The following is a 14,950-nucleotide window of genomic DNA, read 5'->3' as shown; positions in this document are numbered from 1 at the left end:
GGAGTTCAAGATGAGCCTGGGCAACAAAGTGAGACCCCTGTCTCTACAAAAACTGAAATAATTAGGAGGGCATGATGGTGCATGCCTGTAGTCCCAGGTAGTTGGGAGGTGGGGGACAGAGAGTGGAAGAGAATCGCTTAAGTCCAGGAGTTTGAGGCAACAGTGAGCTATGATAGTGCCAGGTAACAGAGCAAGACCCTGGAAAAAAAAAAAAAAAGAAGCTTGGGTAAAATGAACTCTAAGGTGGTGACTGTTTCAAAATAAAATGATGCTATTCTTTGTAAATTCACTCCCAGGACAACACACTGCCTTTGCTTTAAAGGGAGGAACAGTATTATGAAATAACATCCAAGGAATATTATTTTTATTTCTAAGATGCCCCACAATCAGCAGATGGCCAGAAAGTTGAGGAAAATGGTGGCAGTGCCCAGGCCCAATTCACATGTTCTTTCATAGTTCATAGCCTGCCTTGCCCAGGGCTCACTTGACTCTGGCTTTTCCAGCTCCCTCTCCTCCTTGAGATGTCTTGCCAGACTTCCTTCCCTGCAGCCTCCTTGGTAGGGAGAATAGAGGATGATCAGAGATGCCTGAAATACCAGGACCGGGCAACCTTAGTGATCATCTGGATAGTGTGGTTTTCAAAATCACCTGAATAAATTATGTTGATACCCAGGCTCCACCCCACACCAACTGATTCTGAATCTCTAAGGTTGAGACTCAGGCCTTGGTATTTTTAAAAAGCTCCTTAGGTGATTCTGATATACGGAGAAGATTGAGACAACTCTTTTGAGCTCCCGGTCCAGACTCTTTCACAATGGTGGCACCCATATGGAGTTAAGTGCTATTGAGTCAGGCAGTCTTGGGCATGAGTCCTGATTGCACCCTCACCACCTGCATGATGCCAGTGATGCTCTTACCCTCTTGGCACTTCAGTTTCCTCAGTCGATAAATGTGAGATGCTTAGCACAATGCCTGGGACATGGTGAATGTTCAATAATTATTAGCTTTCATCATGTCTTTGTCTTTCTTACTATCATCATCATCAGCTTTATCAACATCATCAACACTTTCATTTTATCATCATCGTCAACAACATCATTACAGCCACTGACATCATCTTCCCCCTTTTCTCCTGCTCCTTTTTCCCCTCCCCTCTTCCTCTTTCATCATCATCATCAACATTGTCATCACCACCAACATCTTTATCATCACCAACATCATCTTCTTTGTCTCCTCCTCCTCCTTCTCCTCCTCCTTCTTCTTCTCCTACTCCTCTTTCTTCTCCTTCTCTTCCTTCTCCTTTTCTTTCTTCTCCTTCCCCTCCTCTTCCTCCATCATCATCCTCATCATCCTCATAGCTATCAGGAGGGCCTGATTCAGCCCATCTTAGAATATGATCAGGCATTTGTGTCTCACTTACCAAGCCTCAGTTTCCTCATCTGGAAAATAACAGCAGTAACAATATTAGCATTTATTCACTGGCTACTGTGTGTCAGGCATTATTCTAAGTGCTTTATATGAGGAAGGCAAATTATTGTCATCCCCATTTTCCTCAGAGAAGGAAAAGGAGACACAGAAAGGTTAAGTAACGTTTCTGCCCAAAGTGGTGCCTCTAGGAAGCAATTTTAAAATGGGGGTGAAAATAATTGTACTGATCTCATGGGGCAGTTGTGAAAATTAACTGAGGTGTAGACATAAGTACCTGCTACCCAGCATAGCACTGGCAAGTGATCAATGTGCATTCTCAGATCCCTCAAACAGGTGCTCAGGGCCTGCACTGGACAGAGAGTGACTGCCCCTCCTTCTCACTCCCCCACCCCACATACATACACTACCTGTCAGTGGAGCCTGAAATCCCAGGATAAACTGCATATCCAGTGGGGTCAGAATTCTATAGAGAGAAGAAAAACATGCTGCATCCCTTTCCCCACCTCCAACCATCATCCCCTGCCTGATCCCTGACCCACCTGACTCATCCACATGCTCACACACATGCATAAACCTTTCTAGAGTGACACTAGACCTGCTGGGAACTAAGAGTGAAAGGGAACTGGAGTCCTTGATGTCACCCAAGGGTCAGGTCCTGCCTCCTGCAAGGATGGGTTCCTGTGCCTGAGTCCTCTCCCTTGGATAAAGCAAATGTGCTAGGCCAAGCATGGTGGGTTCTACCCACCATTCAGCCCTCTTTCTTGCAGATGACGGAAACCAGTTTCATTCAGGTGGCAACACATTTAGTCCCTAGGAATGAGAACTGGTTCAACTGAAATCATTCACTCACGGTCACTCCATTTTCTTGTCAGCATTGATGTGAGGCGCCACAAGACCCCACTCTGGTCCATGAGATGTTAGGGGAACTCTCTGGGTGTTTCTGGAAGACACTGTCCTGCCTGATTAGAGGTGAGGGCAGCATGAGGAAGAGTGCTTGTGCCCCACCCCTCACCCCTAGCCTCCTGCTCTAGAAGTCGTGTAGTGGAGCAGGGCATGGAGCCATGAAGGGGAGGCCCAGGGAATCAGACACACTGACTCTTGCATCCTGACACTGAACTCCCGTCAAACCCAGAACACCTGCCTCCAGACCTGCTGTGACAAAGTGGTAGGTAAGTGTAGACCCTGGGGTGACATCACCTTAGAACCAGTCAAATTCTGGCTCTACCACTCACATGAACTCAGGCAGAGTGCTTAATATGCTGAGGCTCAGTTTCTCCATCTGTAGTAGGAAGACCATAATAGGACCTCCCTCATAGGGATGATGTCAAGATTAACTATATGAATATATAGAAAGAAAGCATCTAGAACAAAGGCTGGCAGGTAGCGAATCCTCCACTGGGGTTCCCTGTGAGTATGTGAGATCATTAAATCTTTATTATTTAAACCACAAACACTTCCATTCTTCCATTCTTGCAACCCAAATACATCCTAATTGATACAAATGCCTAATGTCTATTAGTTTCTTGCTTCATTTCACAGTAGTCAGTTGAGCTGAAGCTGAAGATTCTTCCTTGGTAACAGAATCCTTTTAATTAATCAGTCAATAACTATTTATTGGGGGTCAGCAGACGCAAGAGTCTTTGAGAGGTATAAAGACACATCTCTGCCTTGGGCATACAATGATGAACATGCTGGCAAGATCCTGTCCTCTCTCTCACAGGGGAGACAGACCAAACAAGTCTGTGCACAAACAGGTAAAATAATGGCAAATTGCCCTAAGTGCACCAGAAGACCCAAACAGGACGTGCTGGTAGACAATTGAAAAAAAGGCCACTTTGGGAAGAAGCAAGGAAGGTCCGCATGAGGAGGGTGGCATCTACTGATGGTCTTACCAGGGTGCGACAGCTAGTCCTCCAGTAGGAAGAAGAGGTGGCCTTGGGTAGAAGGAAGCAAAAGTGTCATGGGAGAAAAGAAAAGGCTGAAAGAGCAAGTGGCATCATCTCCAAACGCTAACTAAGGAATTGCCTGTAGTGTTGCTTAGACCTCCAACCAGCACTGGGACTGCAGTGACTAAGCTATTTTAAAGCTTTCACTCTGTTCCAGAAAATCTTAGAAATCTTAAGCTGTAATAGAAAAGATGATGAGAAATTTTAGGAGACTTTAAACAGCTTACAGAATTAAAAACCACCCTCAAATCCAGCATGCACACATGCCCTGAGAAATGTCAGCTGGAAAGCAATTTACATTGAAGCTATGCGGGGTCAAAGTGGGAGGGGTTGGTTTAGCTTGAGGTGGCCATCCACAGACATCCCAACATGGCTAGTGACAGGGGCTGGCCGCTCAGAGAGTGTTACAGGAGGGCCAGTGCCTCTCCCCATCAAACAAGAATGCAAAATCCTCCACCTCATTGCACATGAAAAGTTCAGTGAGAGTTTGAAGATATTACGACAGGATTTCTGGAAGCCAAGTAAAAACGACCTTGAAAATAAACCACATGCTGATGCTAATTAATCTTAGTTCCTGGCTCTTTCCGATCAGACCCTGAACTATAATCCATCTTCATTACACTTCTTTTAAAGCAAAAATGGTGCATTTCCTCAAGTCTAATTAAGGAAGGAACATTATAAGGCCTAAGGTCATAACTCTCTTTCTGTCATAACTCTCTTTCTGTGCATGTTCACACACACACACACACACACACACACATACACACACAAATGCTTTAGAAAACTCTACATGACCTGTTTACTGGCAACCTTGGGTAAGCCACTTGACATCCCAAGGATGAATGAGATGGCCAAGTGGGGTGCCATCACAGTGCATGTCACTGTCAGCCAGTAGCCCTCCCCACTCAAGCTCCCCCACCTTGCACACATCCACCCACCATATTCTTCTGCATACAACTGGTGGGCAGCCAGGGGCTCAGGGAAGGGCTGCCTGGTCCCCAGCCTCAGAGAATGAAGCAGAAGTAGTCTAAGCTGGGTGTGGCCCCCAATTGCTCTTTGACAGTGATTGGTTTTAGGATGGCATTTGACCCAATTCCTCTGACCATTGAGACCAAAGGAAAGGTCTGTTGGGGGTTTCCAAGAGAGCTTCTCTTCCATGAAAAAAGTTATAATCCCTGAATGGTTGAGTTGTGTGAAGGTGAGATGCTTATCTCTGCAGCAGCAGGCAAGGTGCAGAACTAGTGACCACAGAGGGGAAAACTACCTGCCTGTGTGCACCCACCAAGATGTTCCTTGAGTTCAGGAGAACTTGCGAAGAAAGTGTTGGGATGGAGCTGTGTTATCTCTGAGGACTTGGCTGGTTGCCATAGTCTAACCGCAAGATTTTCACTTGGGATCCTGAGAAAAGCGTGGGATGGTTCAAGACCCATCTCTGAGTTGGACTTCACATTGTGGGTGGGGACATAGCTGGGGTGATATTTGAGAGTCTGTTGGTAGGTGTTTCCCACCTTGGGATGGGTCCTTGCCATGGGCACGCTCTTCACCCCCATTCCTAACACCACCCCACAACCCTAGATGAATCATGAGGTAGATATGCGTTTTCCCAATTGTTGATGATTGGAGGGTTCCTCCAAGCCTCCCAAAGATTTTGTTCCTCCAAGTCGATGAAGCTATTGACCATTAAGGGGCTTGTGTGAGATTGTCTGGAGTCTCATTCTCATTCACCCATGCCCTCTCTGCTCCTCACCCACCTACCCATCCCATTTCCCACTTATCACTGCAGTTCCTATCAGTCAAACCCTGGAAGGATTCTAATTCCAGTTCTAGCCTAAATAACACCAACAATTATACATCGTGGAGAGAGATATATCAGCCATTGAATTTCCTGCTTGGAATATGTAATAATCCATTCAGATGGTTCCTACTCATCACATGACCAGCTCAGTCCAAAGGCAGTGGTCTCAACCAGCCCTTCTCATTAAGAGAACACCACCATTGGAGTTTAGAATGTGTCCGAGTACATAAGCATGTGTGATGCCCTTAGAGACTATATTCACTCATGTATACTTGCATGTATTCACATGCATAGTGAGAGACCCAGTCAGGGAATAATGAACACTGGGGCAGGGGGCTGTTGAGCTGCCACAGCCAGAAGATATTAGAGGGTGAAAGGACTTCAAAGGTCAGCAAGACTAACTTCCTCTATATATAGATGAGAAGCTAAATTCAAGAAGGAAAGGGTCCTGGCCAGAGTCCCAAAGCTCTGGGCATAAAATAAGTAAAAACAAGTGAGTTAATAGTGGTGTTAAGGATGCTGGTTTCCTGCATAGTAAAGTGGTAGGAAAGACTCTGTACACTGTCCAAGGTGAAGCCTTGCTGGTGTGGTAGAAGTCCACGAGGTACTATAGACACTTCTTGGTTGGCTCACTGAAACTCCCCCTTTGGTGGTGGACACAGCCAGACATTTCAAGGTGGGCTCAAAGGCCATGTCTCTGCTACATGATCCTGCCACTGGCCACAGCTGGATGCACGACCCCAGGTGGGTCTGGCACATTCTGCTTCTTGGGAATTTGACATCTACTTGAACATCTATGGGCTGGAAATCTTTTGGGCTGTGTTGTGTTCATGGGAGCCCAGTGAAGAGAGGATCCGGACACTCCTGCTACTAAACTATCAGGGGTAACCCCATTTCATTCCAAATCTTAGTTGTTCAAGCCTTCCTTTGATTTCCGAGGTACTCCCATGGACCTTCTAACAAATTACTGTCCTTTTTTTCTTTGCCCAAGCTAGTCAAAGGGGTTTCTGTTGCATGTGACCAAAAATAAAACAAAAAAGCTAAACTAATGGACAAGACAGTTCTGGTGTTCCCTGGGTGCCCTAGTTTGCTGCTTCTTGGATAGCACATCTGAGAGGTCCATACTGAACTAAGTAGAGTCACATGGCCTTAAATCTATGACTCCTGTTTACAGGGACAGAATAAGTAAATGGATAAGGCTACAAAAGCATCATCAACCTAACATTTTGGAGAGCATGTTGAGTTTTATTGAGAATATTTAACAGTCCCAGAAAGACAACAGTCTATCCAGAAGATAAGCTCAGGGAGAAAGGACCAGGGAATGGGTCACCCATTCAGAGACCTCTGGCCAGATCTCCAGTCTCCAAATCCAGAATTCTCTCCATACCCCACGCACCACAGCTCCAAGCGTTAGGAGACTGGATCTTTAATCTTTATTCAGCCACAAACTCACCTGGTAGCCTTAAACAAGGCACTTTGTCTCTCTGGAAACAATTTTCTCCTCTGTAAAATGTAAATGTGGAAATAAATTACTCCCAAGTTCCTTCATAACTATAAATCCCCCAATCCTATTAAATCAGTCATCAGAAATCTGCTTATTCCTATTTGGGTACCAATTCCAAAAATGGCCCTTCTACAGTGGGTAACATTCCCAAACAGATTATTATCCTGCCCTTAGCTAAGGCCTCTGGTAGAGAGTCTGCAAGATGGGTGGAGACAAACCCCTGCATGTTATTGCATGACCAGGTTTGGGATTCATTGCTCTGGCTTTGGCCATGTTCTGCACATGCCCCTTGCAATATGAACTGGAGGAGGATTTGCACTTGAAAAGGAAATGACCTTTGTTTGACCTCCAAATGATCTTTGCTTCTTATTATTCACACCTTGTGTAGTTCTTTCTTCACTGAGTCAAAGCTGATGTGTGTGACCAAAAGAATACTATGGAAGTGGTGGTATGTGATTTCTGAAGCTAGGTTATAAGAGACATTGTGGTTCCACCCTTGTCCTCTTGGATCACTTACTCTGAGGAAAGTCAGCCACCATGTTGTGAGGACACTCAAGCATTCCTGAGGACAGGCTCATGTGAAGGAAGAACTGAAGCCTATCACCGACAGCCAGCACCAACTTGTCAACTAGGTGAATAAGTCGCCTTGGGAGCAGATCCTTCAGATGACTGCAACCCTGATCAACACCTTGACAGCATCCTCATGAAAGATTCCAACTCTCTCATGAGTTCTGCTCATGAGAGATGAGCAGAACTACCCAGCTCAGCCACCCTTGCATTTCTGACCCACGGGAACTGTGAAAGACGGTAAACGTTTATTGTCAGTTTAAGCCACTTAGTTTTGGGGTAATTGATCACACAGCAAAAGATAACTAATGCCATCTCTAAAAAGATTAACATGAAAATTAATCATTTAACATGAAAATTAGAAATTCTGATAAAAGTAACAAAAATCACAGGACTGTTATAGTATTTTTTTCTTCTAAAATCCCAAAATACTTTCAAATACTTGTCATGATTTTCCCTGAGAGATTATATGAGGTAAGGAGAAATCTACAAGAGACTCAGTCTCTCTTCTTGCTACCTGAGAAATTTGTACATTGTTTTTAAATTATAATAGGTTTGGCAAAACATTGGTAAGCTGGTGGGTGCTTAGCAGTTCACTCTGTTATTCTCTTTACTTTTGTGTACATGGGGAAAATGCTCTGTGCTCAAAAAGATTATCATCGTTAAGCCTTTCCTAAGGTGGGTGGGAGGGGGAGAGCTCCTGGGCTATAGGCCTTGCCTGTCTCTCCATCCTTACCCGCTAGCCCTTTACCCTAGTCTCACTTCACCCCAGTCACACTGGCTTCCTCGCTGCTCCTTGACACACCAAACTCACTCCCCCATACAGGTCTTTGTACCTGCTGTCCCCTCTGCCCCTGGCAGAGGACCCCTGCCTTTGGCTGTCCACCAAAATCCTGGACACATGACCAGAGTACATTTCCCAGGCTCGCTCGCAGGTGGGATGACCATGTGACCAAGTTCACGCCAATGGAACATGGGCATAAATGGTACCTGTCACATTCAGACTGGGCCATAGAAAACTCCCAAGAGACTCTTTCAAGCTCTTTTCCCTTCCAGCCAACCAGATGGTGATGCCGAGATGACCTTGGAAGCCAAAATTTAAAGATGGTAGAGCAGCCATCAGCCTGGGTCCCTGAATGTGTGCAGAGAGGACAGCTAGCCCGTCAGCCTAAACACCAGCTCTGAAGGATTGTTGATAAGTCACCATGTGCCTTATTTTTGAAGTCATTTGATTTTGAGGGTCTAGTTGATGCATTGGCTCAGCCTGTAACTAACACAAGCCACATTGCTCTTGTCATTCAGACCTGCCCAGATGCCACTTGCTCAAAGCAGCATTCTCTCTCTCAGCCCACCTGAGTTGGCCCCTCCCTACCCTCCATAACGTCACCCTGCTTCCTGTTGTTGCGTAGCCCTTCCCCCTGCCTGAAGTTACGTATGTGCATGCTTAGCTGTTCACGGCCTGTCTCCTCTACTAGAAAGTGCACTCCACGAAGGCAGGGATGTTGCCCATATCCCCAGCAGCACCCAGCACATAATAGGTGCTTGCCCAGTAAATATTTGTTAAAAAAAAAAACAATATTCATTTGTTTATGGCCAATCTGGGATGTCCTAAATCATAAATGGACTTAACAAACTGGTTTGGAAACCCAACGGGGGGGCCACGTCTTCTGGGGAGCTTAATAAAAACACCAGTGTCTGGGTTCTGTGCCCAGAGATTCTGAACCTGTCAAGTTTGGGTACTGGGTGGAGACCAAGCCCTGCGTGTTATTGCATGACCAGGTTTGGGATTCATTGCTCTGGCTTTGGCCATGATCTGCACAAGCCCCTTGCATATGAACTGGAGGAGGATTTGCACTTGAAAAGGAAATGACCTTTGTTCGATCTCCAACTGCCAAGAAAGATGGAGACCAGCTCCTAGATTAAGGCAATGCTCCACATGGGAGAGTGAGCATTTATTTAGGATATAGATTTGGGCATAATGGACATAGCCTTCAGCTGTCTGTAGCCTGAGCATGGTAGATGTTCCTTTCTCTTTGAAGTAGAAGTCTGAGCTGGGAGAGCAGCTGGACCTAATCTCCTCCCATCTTGCTTTCTGCCATCTGTAGAGCATGGCCACCACTCACATGGTCAAGGAAGCTCTTCACCATGTCCAACACCCAACCAAAAGGGCTGGGGAGAGGCATGTGCTCCTTCCCTCTATGGGCATGACCCAAACACTGCATATATCACTTCTCCCCATATTCCAGCAGCCAGAATTTCGTCACACGGATGCACCTGGCTGCAAAGAAGCCTGGGAAGTAGAATGTCTCTTCTGGGCAACACAAGCTCAGCTGAAAGTTCTCTGACAGGGGAAGAAGGAAAAATGGATATTAGGGGACAAGTCGCCACCTCTGCCACAGAGATCATGTGGCTGCTGCAGAGAAGAGAACAGAACCAAACGCTGGTACTTAATTACAGGCCTAGGAGTCAGACTGTTGATGCAGCCTTAAGCCTCTGCCCTCGGGCCTCACAGGGAGACAGCTGTTGTCTCTACAACTGAGTGTACCACAGTGATGGAACGGCCTCCAGAAGCACAGAGGACAGTTGACCAACTCATTCAGAGGATTGAGAAGGCTGTTCCCAACAGACACACATTTCCACTGGTCCCAGACAGGTGAGTGGGAACTTGGCAGGGAGGAGCTCAAGCAAACAGCCCGCCTCAGCAGAGGCCAAGCATGCAAATGTCAAGAAGCCTAGAAAAGCCTGCGGTCTTCACGACAGGGAGAGAAATCCTGGATTTAGGTTCCAGAGAACTTGGGGGAGGAGCAGGAGATGCAGCTGGTAAGGCAGGTGGGCCGACTCTCAGGAGCCAGGCTGCCTGGGTTCAAATCCCAGCTCCCTACTTCCTAGCTGTGTGAGCTTGGCCATGTCAACTGAAACTCTCTGAGCCTCAGTTTCCACCTCTACAAAATGGAAATGAATAACGCACCTCCACCAAAGGCTTCTGTGAGGGTTAAAGGGGTCTACAGAGGGGAAAACCTTGGGGGAGTGCCTGGCCCAGCATGCCTGTAAGTGCCGACTGCTTTCGTTATTGCCCAGCAAGGGGATTGGCTTGATCCTTGGTTTCTTAGGGAAGTTTCTCTAGAAAAGTCCAAGCTGTCTTCGCTGTACTAAGGAGGAAACAGAATCTCACCCCCACACCCGCTTATGTCTAGAAGGCAAAAGAGGGCAGTTGGCCGTGTGGGTTTGGGGAAGCCCAAGCAGGGAGAAAGGGGGACAGTGCCCATCTGCTCTTCCTTTTCTCCAGAGAGCTTGGTGACTTCTTGGGGGTTGGCTTCCTCATTGCCTCCAGCTGTCCTTACCAGTTTTACAAAAGAGAAAATATCAGCCTAGACCGAGTGTGGCCCCAACACCCAATGAGAGTAACCCTGGCCGGCTCTGCTGCTATTTGTAGAGCTCAAGACCTTCCCAGAAAGACGAATGGCTGGCACCTCTTCATTCATTTGCTGGCTTTCCTGCTCACACTCAGCCAAAACTGAAAGTCATGGAGCCCTGGCTTTTGGTGGTGTTTGCACTGGGTGTAAGGAACCTGCCACTGTAGGGTGGGCAAGAGGAGGGTAGTGCCTACTTTGTGATGCAGAAAGAACAAGGCCCTGGGGTGAGAAAGAGCCAGGTTCAAAGCCCACACTCCCTCATCGGCAGAGAGTGACTGAGCCTACATTAGGAGCCAGGCACAGGGCTTTAGGGCCTCACAGTTTGTTTTTAGGGAGAGAATGAGATGATATAACCTACAGATGATCAGTAAAGGGTATCGGTTGTCATTCAGCACCCAGAGAGGTGATTATCCAACTACTCCAAGAAGGAGAGCCATGCCTGGGTGCATCGTCATCTTCTGCCGTGAGTTTCCCAATACCCTACTGGATGGGGATTCAGGCCTTCATGACTCTACCTGACCAGATACAGCCTAAATGGCTATCCCCTGCATGGGCCACCCAAATGGGCACAGAGGAGGGGGAGAGAGGGAGCAATCAGGGCCAAGGAGACACTGTACACAATGACATTAAACAGCCCACAGGGCGCTTGTGTCCCAGCCAACTGCCATTGAATGCCAGCTCCTGCACTTTTCAGAGAGACCCTCTCCCGCCTGCTCCAGGGTGGGCAAAGACACAGCCCCCGAGAAACTCTATAACCAGGCTATTTCACTCCATTACCAAGTTTTACAGCAACTAAGGGAACAGGCTTTCCACATGCACATTCTCCCCAGTGAGCAATAAAGAACGCCCAAACACCAGAGCCAGTGTACAGTGTGTTAGAAGTTTTCTGTCCTCCTCAGACTCTGAGTGTCTGCCAAGTCCCATAAATTAGGCCAACGTCTCTGGGCTCAGGAGCCCGGCAAAATGAGTACCACGAGCAGCCAGGGCAACCAAGTCCAGAGAACAGAAAAAACCAATGCAGCATCAGCCTGGCCTTGGGGAAGGGGAGCTGCTGCTCCTGGAACTTCCCTGAGCCACCCTCAAGAGAGTTCTGGGCCACTCTGCAGGTCTCTATGCTAGTGGTTTTCAAAGGGCTGTCCCTGGACAGGCAGCATCAGCATCACCTAAGAACTCACTAGAAATGCACATTCTTGGGCTCCACCCCAGACCTATTCCATTAGTAGCTCTGGGGCTGAGACTGGCGATTTCTGTTTTGACAAACCCCGCTTTAACCAGCCCTCCAGGTGATTCTGATGCTCACTGAAGTTTGCGAACCACCGCATTAGAGGCTTTCTTAACTGAAATCAGCAACACATTGGCTGTGTGACAGCCAGGATAAGAGGAGGCAATAGAGGCGCCAAGACGGCAAAATCGAAGGAAGCGTTTTGTTTTGTTTTGTTTTTGAGACGGAGTCTCACTCTGTCACCCAGGCTGGAGTGCAGTGGCATGATCTTGGCTCATTGCAAGCTCCGCCTCCCAGGTTCATGCCATTCTCCTGCCTCAGCCTCCCAAGTATCTGGGACTACAGGCACCCGCCACCACACCCGGCTAATTTTTTGTATTTTTAGTAGAGACGGGGTTTCACCGTGTTAGCCAGGATGGTCTCGATCTCCTGACCTCGTGATCCACCCACCTCAGCCTCCCAAACTGCTGGGATTACAGGCGTGAGCCACCATGCCCGGCCTTTTTTGGGTCTTACTCTGTCATCCCAGCTGGAGTGCAGTGGCACAATCACAGCTCACTGCAGCCTCAAGAGACTTCCTTTTTGATAACAGGCCATAGCTACCATTTATTGGTGTTGAGAGATTGTAATGGTTGGTAGGTGGAGACACTTGGGGTGGGAGAGAGTTGGAACCTGGGAGAAGTTGTGATCCACAGAAACCAAACTCCATCTCGCTCACCTTGGGACAGGTGGGAGGCTGAGCAGGCAGATGAACAAGGCAGGGACGGCTGGGGAGGTCACACTGAGGAAGGGCAGTGACAGGGCTGGGCATGGACGCATTGCCTCAACCACCCGCTTTGGAGCATGCCCGTGCCAGGTGCTTCACACCCATGCTACCACTTGACACCCACGGCCAGCAGGGAGCAAGGTACCATAGCCTCATTTTGCCAAGGAGGAGGCTGAGGCCCTCAGAGGCTGAGTCATTTGGTCAAACTCGTCCAGCGGGCTCCTTCCCATCATCCCTGCCCTACTGCCCCCCTGGGTGGTGGCTGTGGGGAAATCAAGGAGGAGCAGGAAGGGAAAGGGGAGCTGCCCAGGCTGTTGTCATGGCAACAATTCTATGCTGCACCTTCCCTTGATGGTTTCAAGTGTCTTTTCTTCTCTCCACAAAACCCCGCATTCTCAACGACTGTTTTGGAAGCCAAAAGCTGGAACAGCAACTGTTTCTTTCCCTTCGTGTCCTGCTCAATCAATCCTCACCAATGAGGCTGGGTGGACTCACAGGAGAAGGTCCAGTGCCCGGCAGGAGGAAGGAAGTTCAGACCAAGAGCTCACAAGATGAACTCACCCTTCCTTTCCTGAAACAATTTTAGAGCTGGGAAGAACCTCAGAGGCTATCCTCTCTAACCCTCTCGTTTCATACGCGAGGCTCAGGGAGGGAAAGTGACTTGCTCAGGGTCACACAGAAGATTGGTGACTAAGCTGGGGCTGCGACCTGGCCCCAGCACTGCCCCAAAGTGAGAAACACACTTGACCTAGCATTGCTGCCTGTGGCTCTCTCCACAAGCTAGGTGGAGAGGGTCACTCTCTCTGCTGTGGGTTTTTTTTTTTTTTTTTTTTTTCATTATTCTATCATCTCATCTATGCTGCATCAATGTCAACGTCTTCATTCCTCCTTCTGAAACACGAGCTGTGTGTTGGTCAGCGTGGGCTTATTCTGTGGGAAAAAGCCACCCCCAAATCTCAGTGCTTTAGCCCCTACAAGATTATGCTTCTCTCCTAAATCCCTCCCAAGTGGGAAGTGAGTCTTCCATGAGCCATGTGTTTGAGTCCTGGTAATGTCTGCCACAGCCCATGACAGAGCCCGTGTCTTCACTGTGTGTGACATATAAAGTCACTTGGTAACTACTAGAACGTGCAAACAAACAAATGACACAAAACAAGAAAGGATCGGAGGGGACAAGGGAGGGATGAGATTTCTCCCTGGGCCTGACTCTCCTCTGCTTGGTGTTATTTAACCCTCAGGAATCGGGAGAGTAGAAAGAGCCAGAGACTCAGAGTCCAGAGGCATGTGGTAAGCCCCCACTCGGCCACCAACCCGGTTGTGTAGCTTTAGACATGTCATTTCCCTTAGCTGGACAGTTCTCCTACCAGTAGAGGACACTGTGGGGTTATTAGAAGATAAGTCCTAAGGTCTCTGACTGTTGTGACATTGTCCATCCCATACACCACCAGGAAGAACCCACAGGACCAGCCCTGGCTGTGTGAGTGAGCAGTTGCCACTTTAATGGAACAAATTCAAGTTCAAAGACACGCCTTAGAGAAAAACGACCCAAAGTCCATATATCGTAGACTCTGAGTTAATCACCATTATGACTCAAGAATTCCTAAAGGTAATGTCAAAAATATGTTCTTTGTCTCAAAAGGATAGGCATTATTTAAAGAGGCACTGGAAGTTGTACCCTCTCCGGGCCCAGCTCCTCGGGGCAATTCTGTACCAGGCCCAACACCATGTGCTTCATATAACTTTTATTATTTAGTCCTCACAACCCCTTGAAAGCAACTGTAATTTCTCTCATTTTGCAGTAAGAAACTGAGGCTCAGAAAAGTTAGGCTCACGCACTGGGCAAGTGTGATTTGAGCCCCTACTGGGTGCTGGCATTGTTCTAGGCTCTAGGGTTATTTCTGTAAACAAAACAGATCAAAGTCTCTGCCCCCTGGAGACAACATTCTAGCGAGAAGACAGTACTAAATATTCAGTTGGTGCAAAAGTAATTGCGGTTTTTGCCATTACTTTGAATTACTTTGAATACACCCCTATCACCCTTCCCTGCTTCTCCAAACGCTATTTTTCACTCGATCTTAGCCAAAAGGCCGAGAAGCCATCAAATGCTATTTTTCTTCATAGTATTTACCAACCAGTGGGTCAGGTTGCCAAGCTGCCACTGGTTGGCAAATGCTATGAAGAAAAATCGTTTGGAGAAGAAGGGAAGGGTGATAGGAGTGTATATAGCAAGGCAGGTGGGAACAAGAGGAGGGGCTTCACTCGGGTGTCACCTGCATCAGGACTGTGCAGGGGTGACAGTGAGAGCCATG

This window comes from Homo sapiens, chromosome 6, assembly GCF_000001405.40.
Source record: "Homo sapiens chromosome 6, GRCh38.p14 Primary Assembly".
Taxonomy (NCBI): Eukaryota; Metazoa; Chordata; class Mammalia; order Primates; family Hominidae; genus Homo; species Homo sapiens.
The sequence above is the reverse complement of the archived record's forward strand: the minus strand, read 5'-3'. Positions refer to the sequence as shown.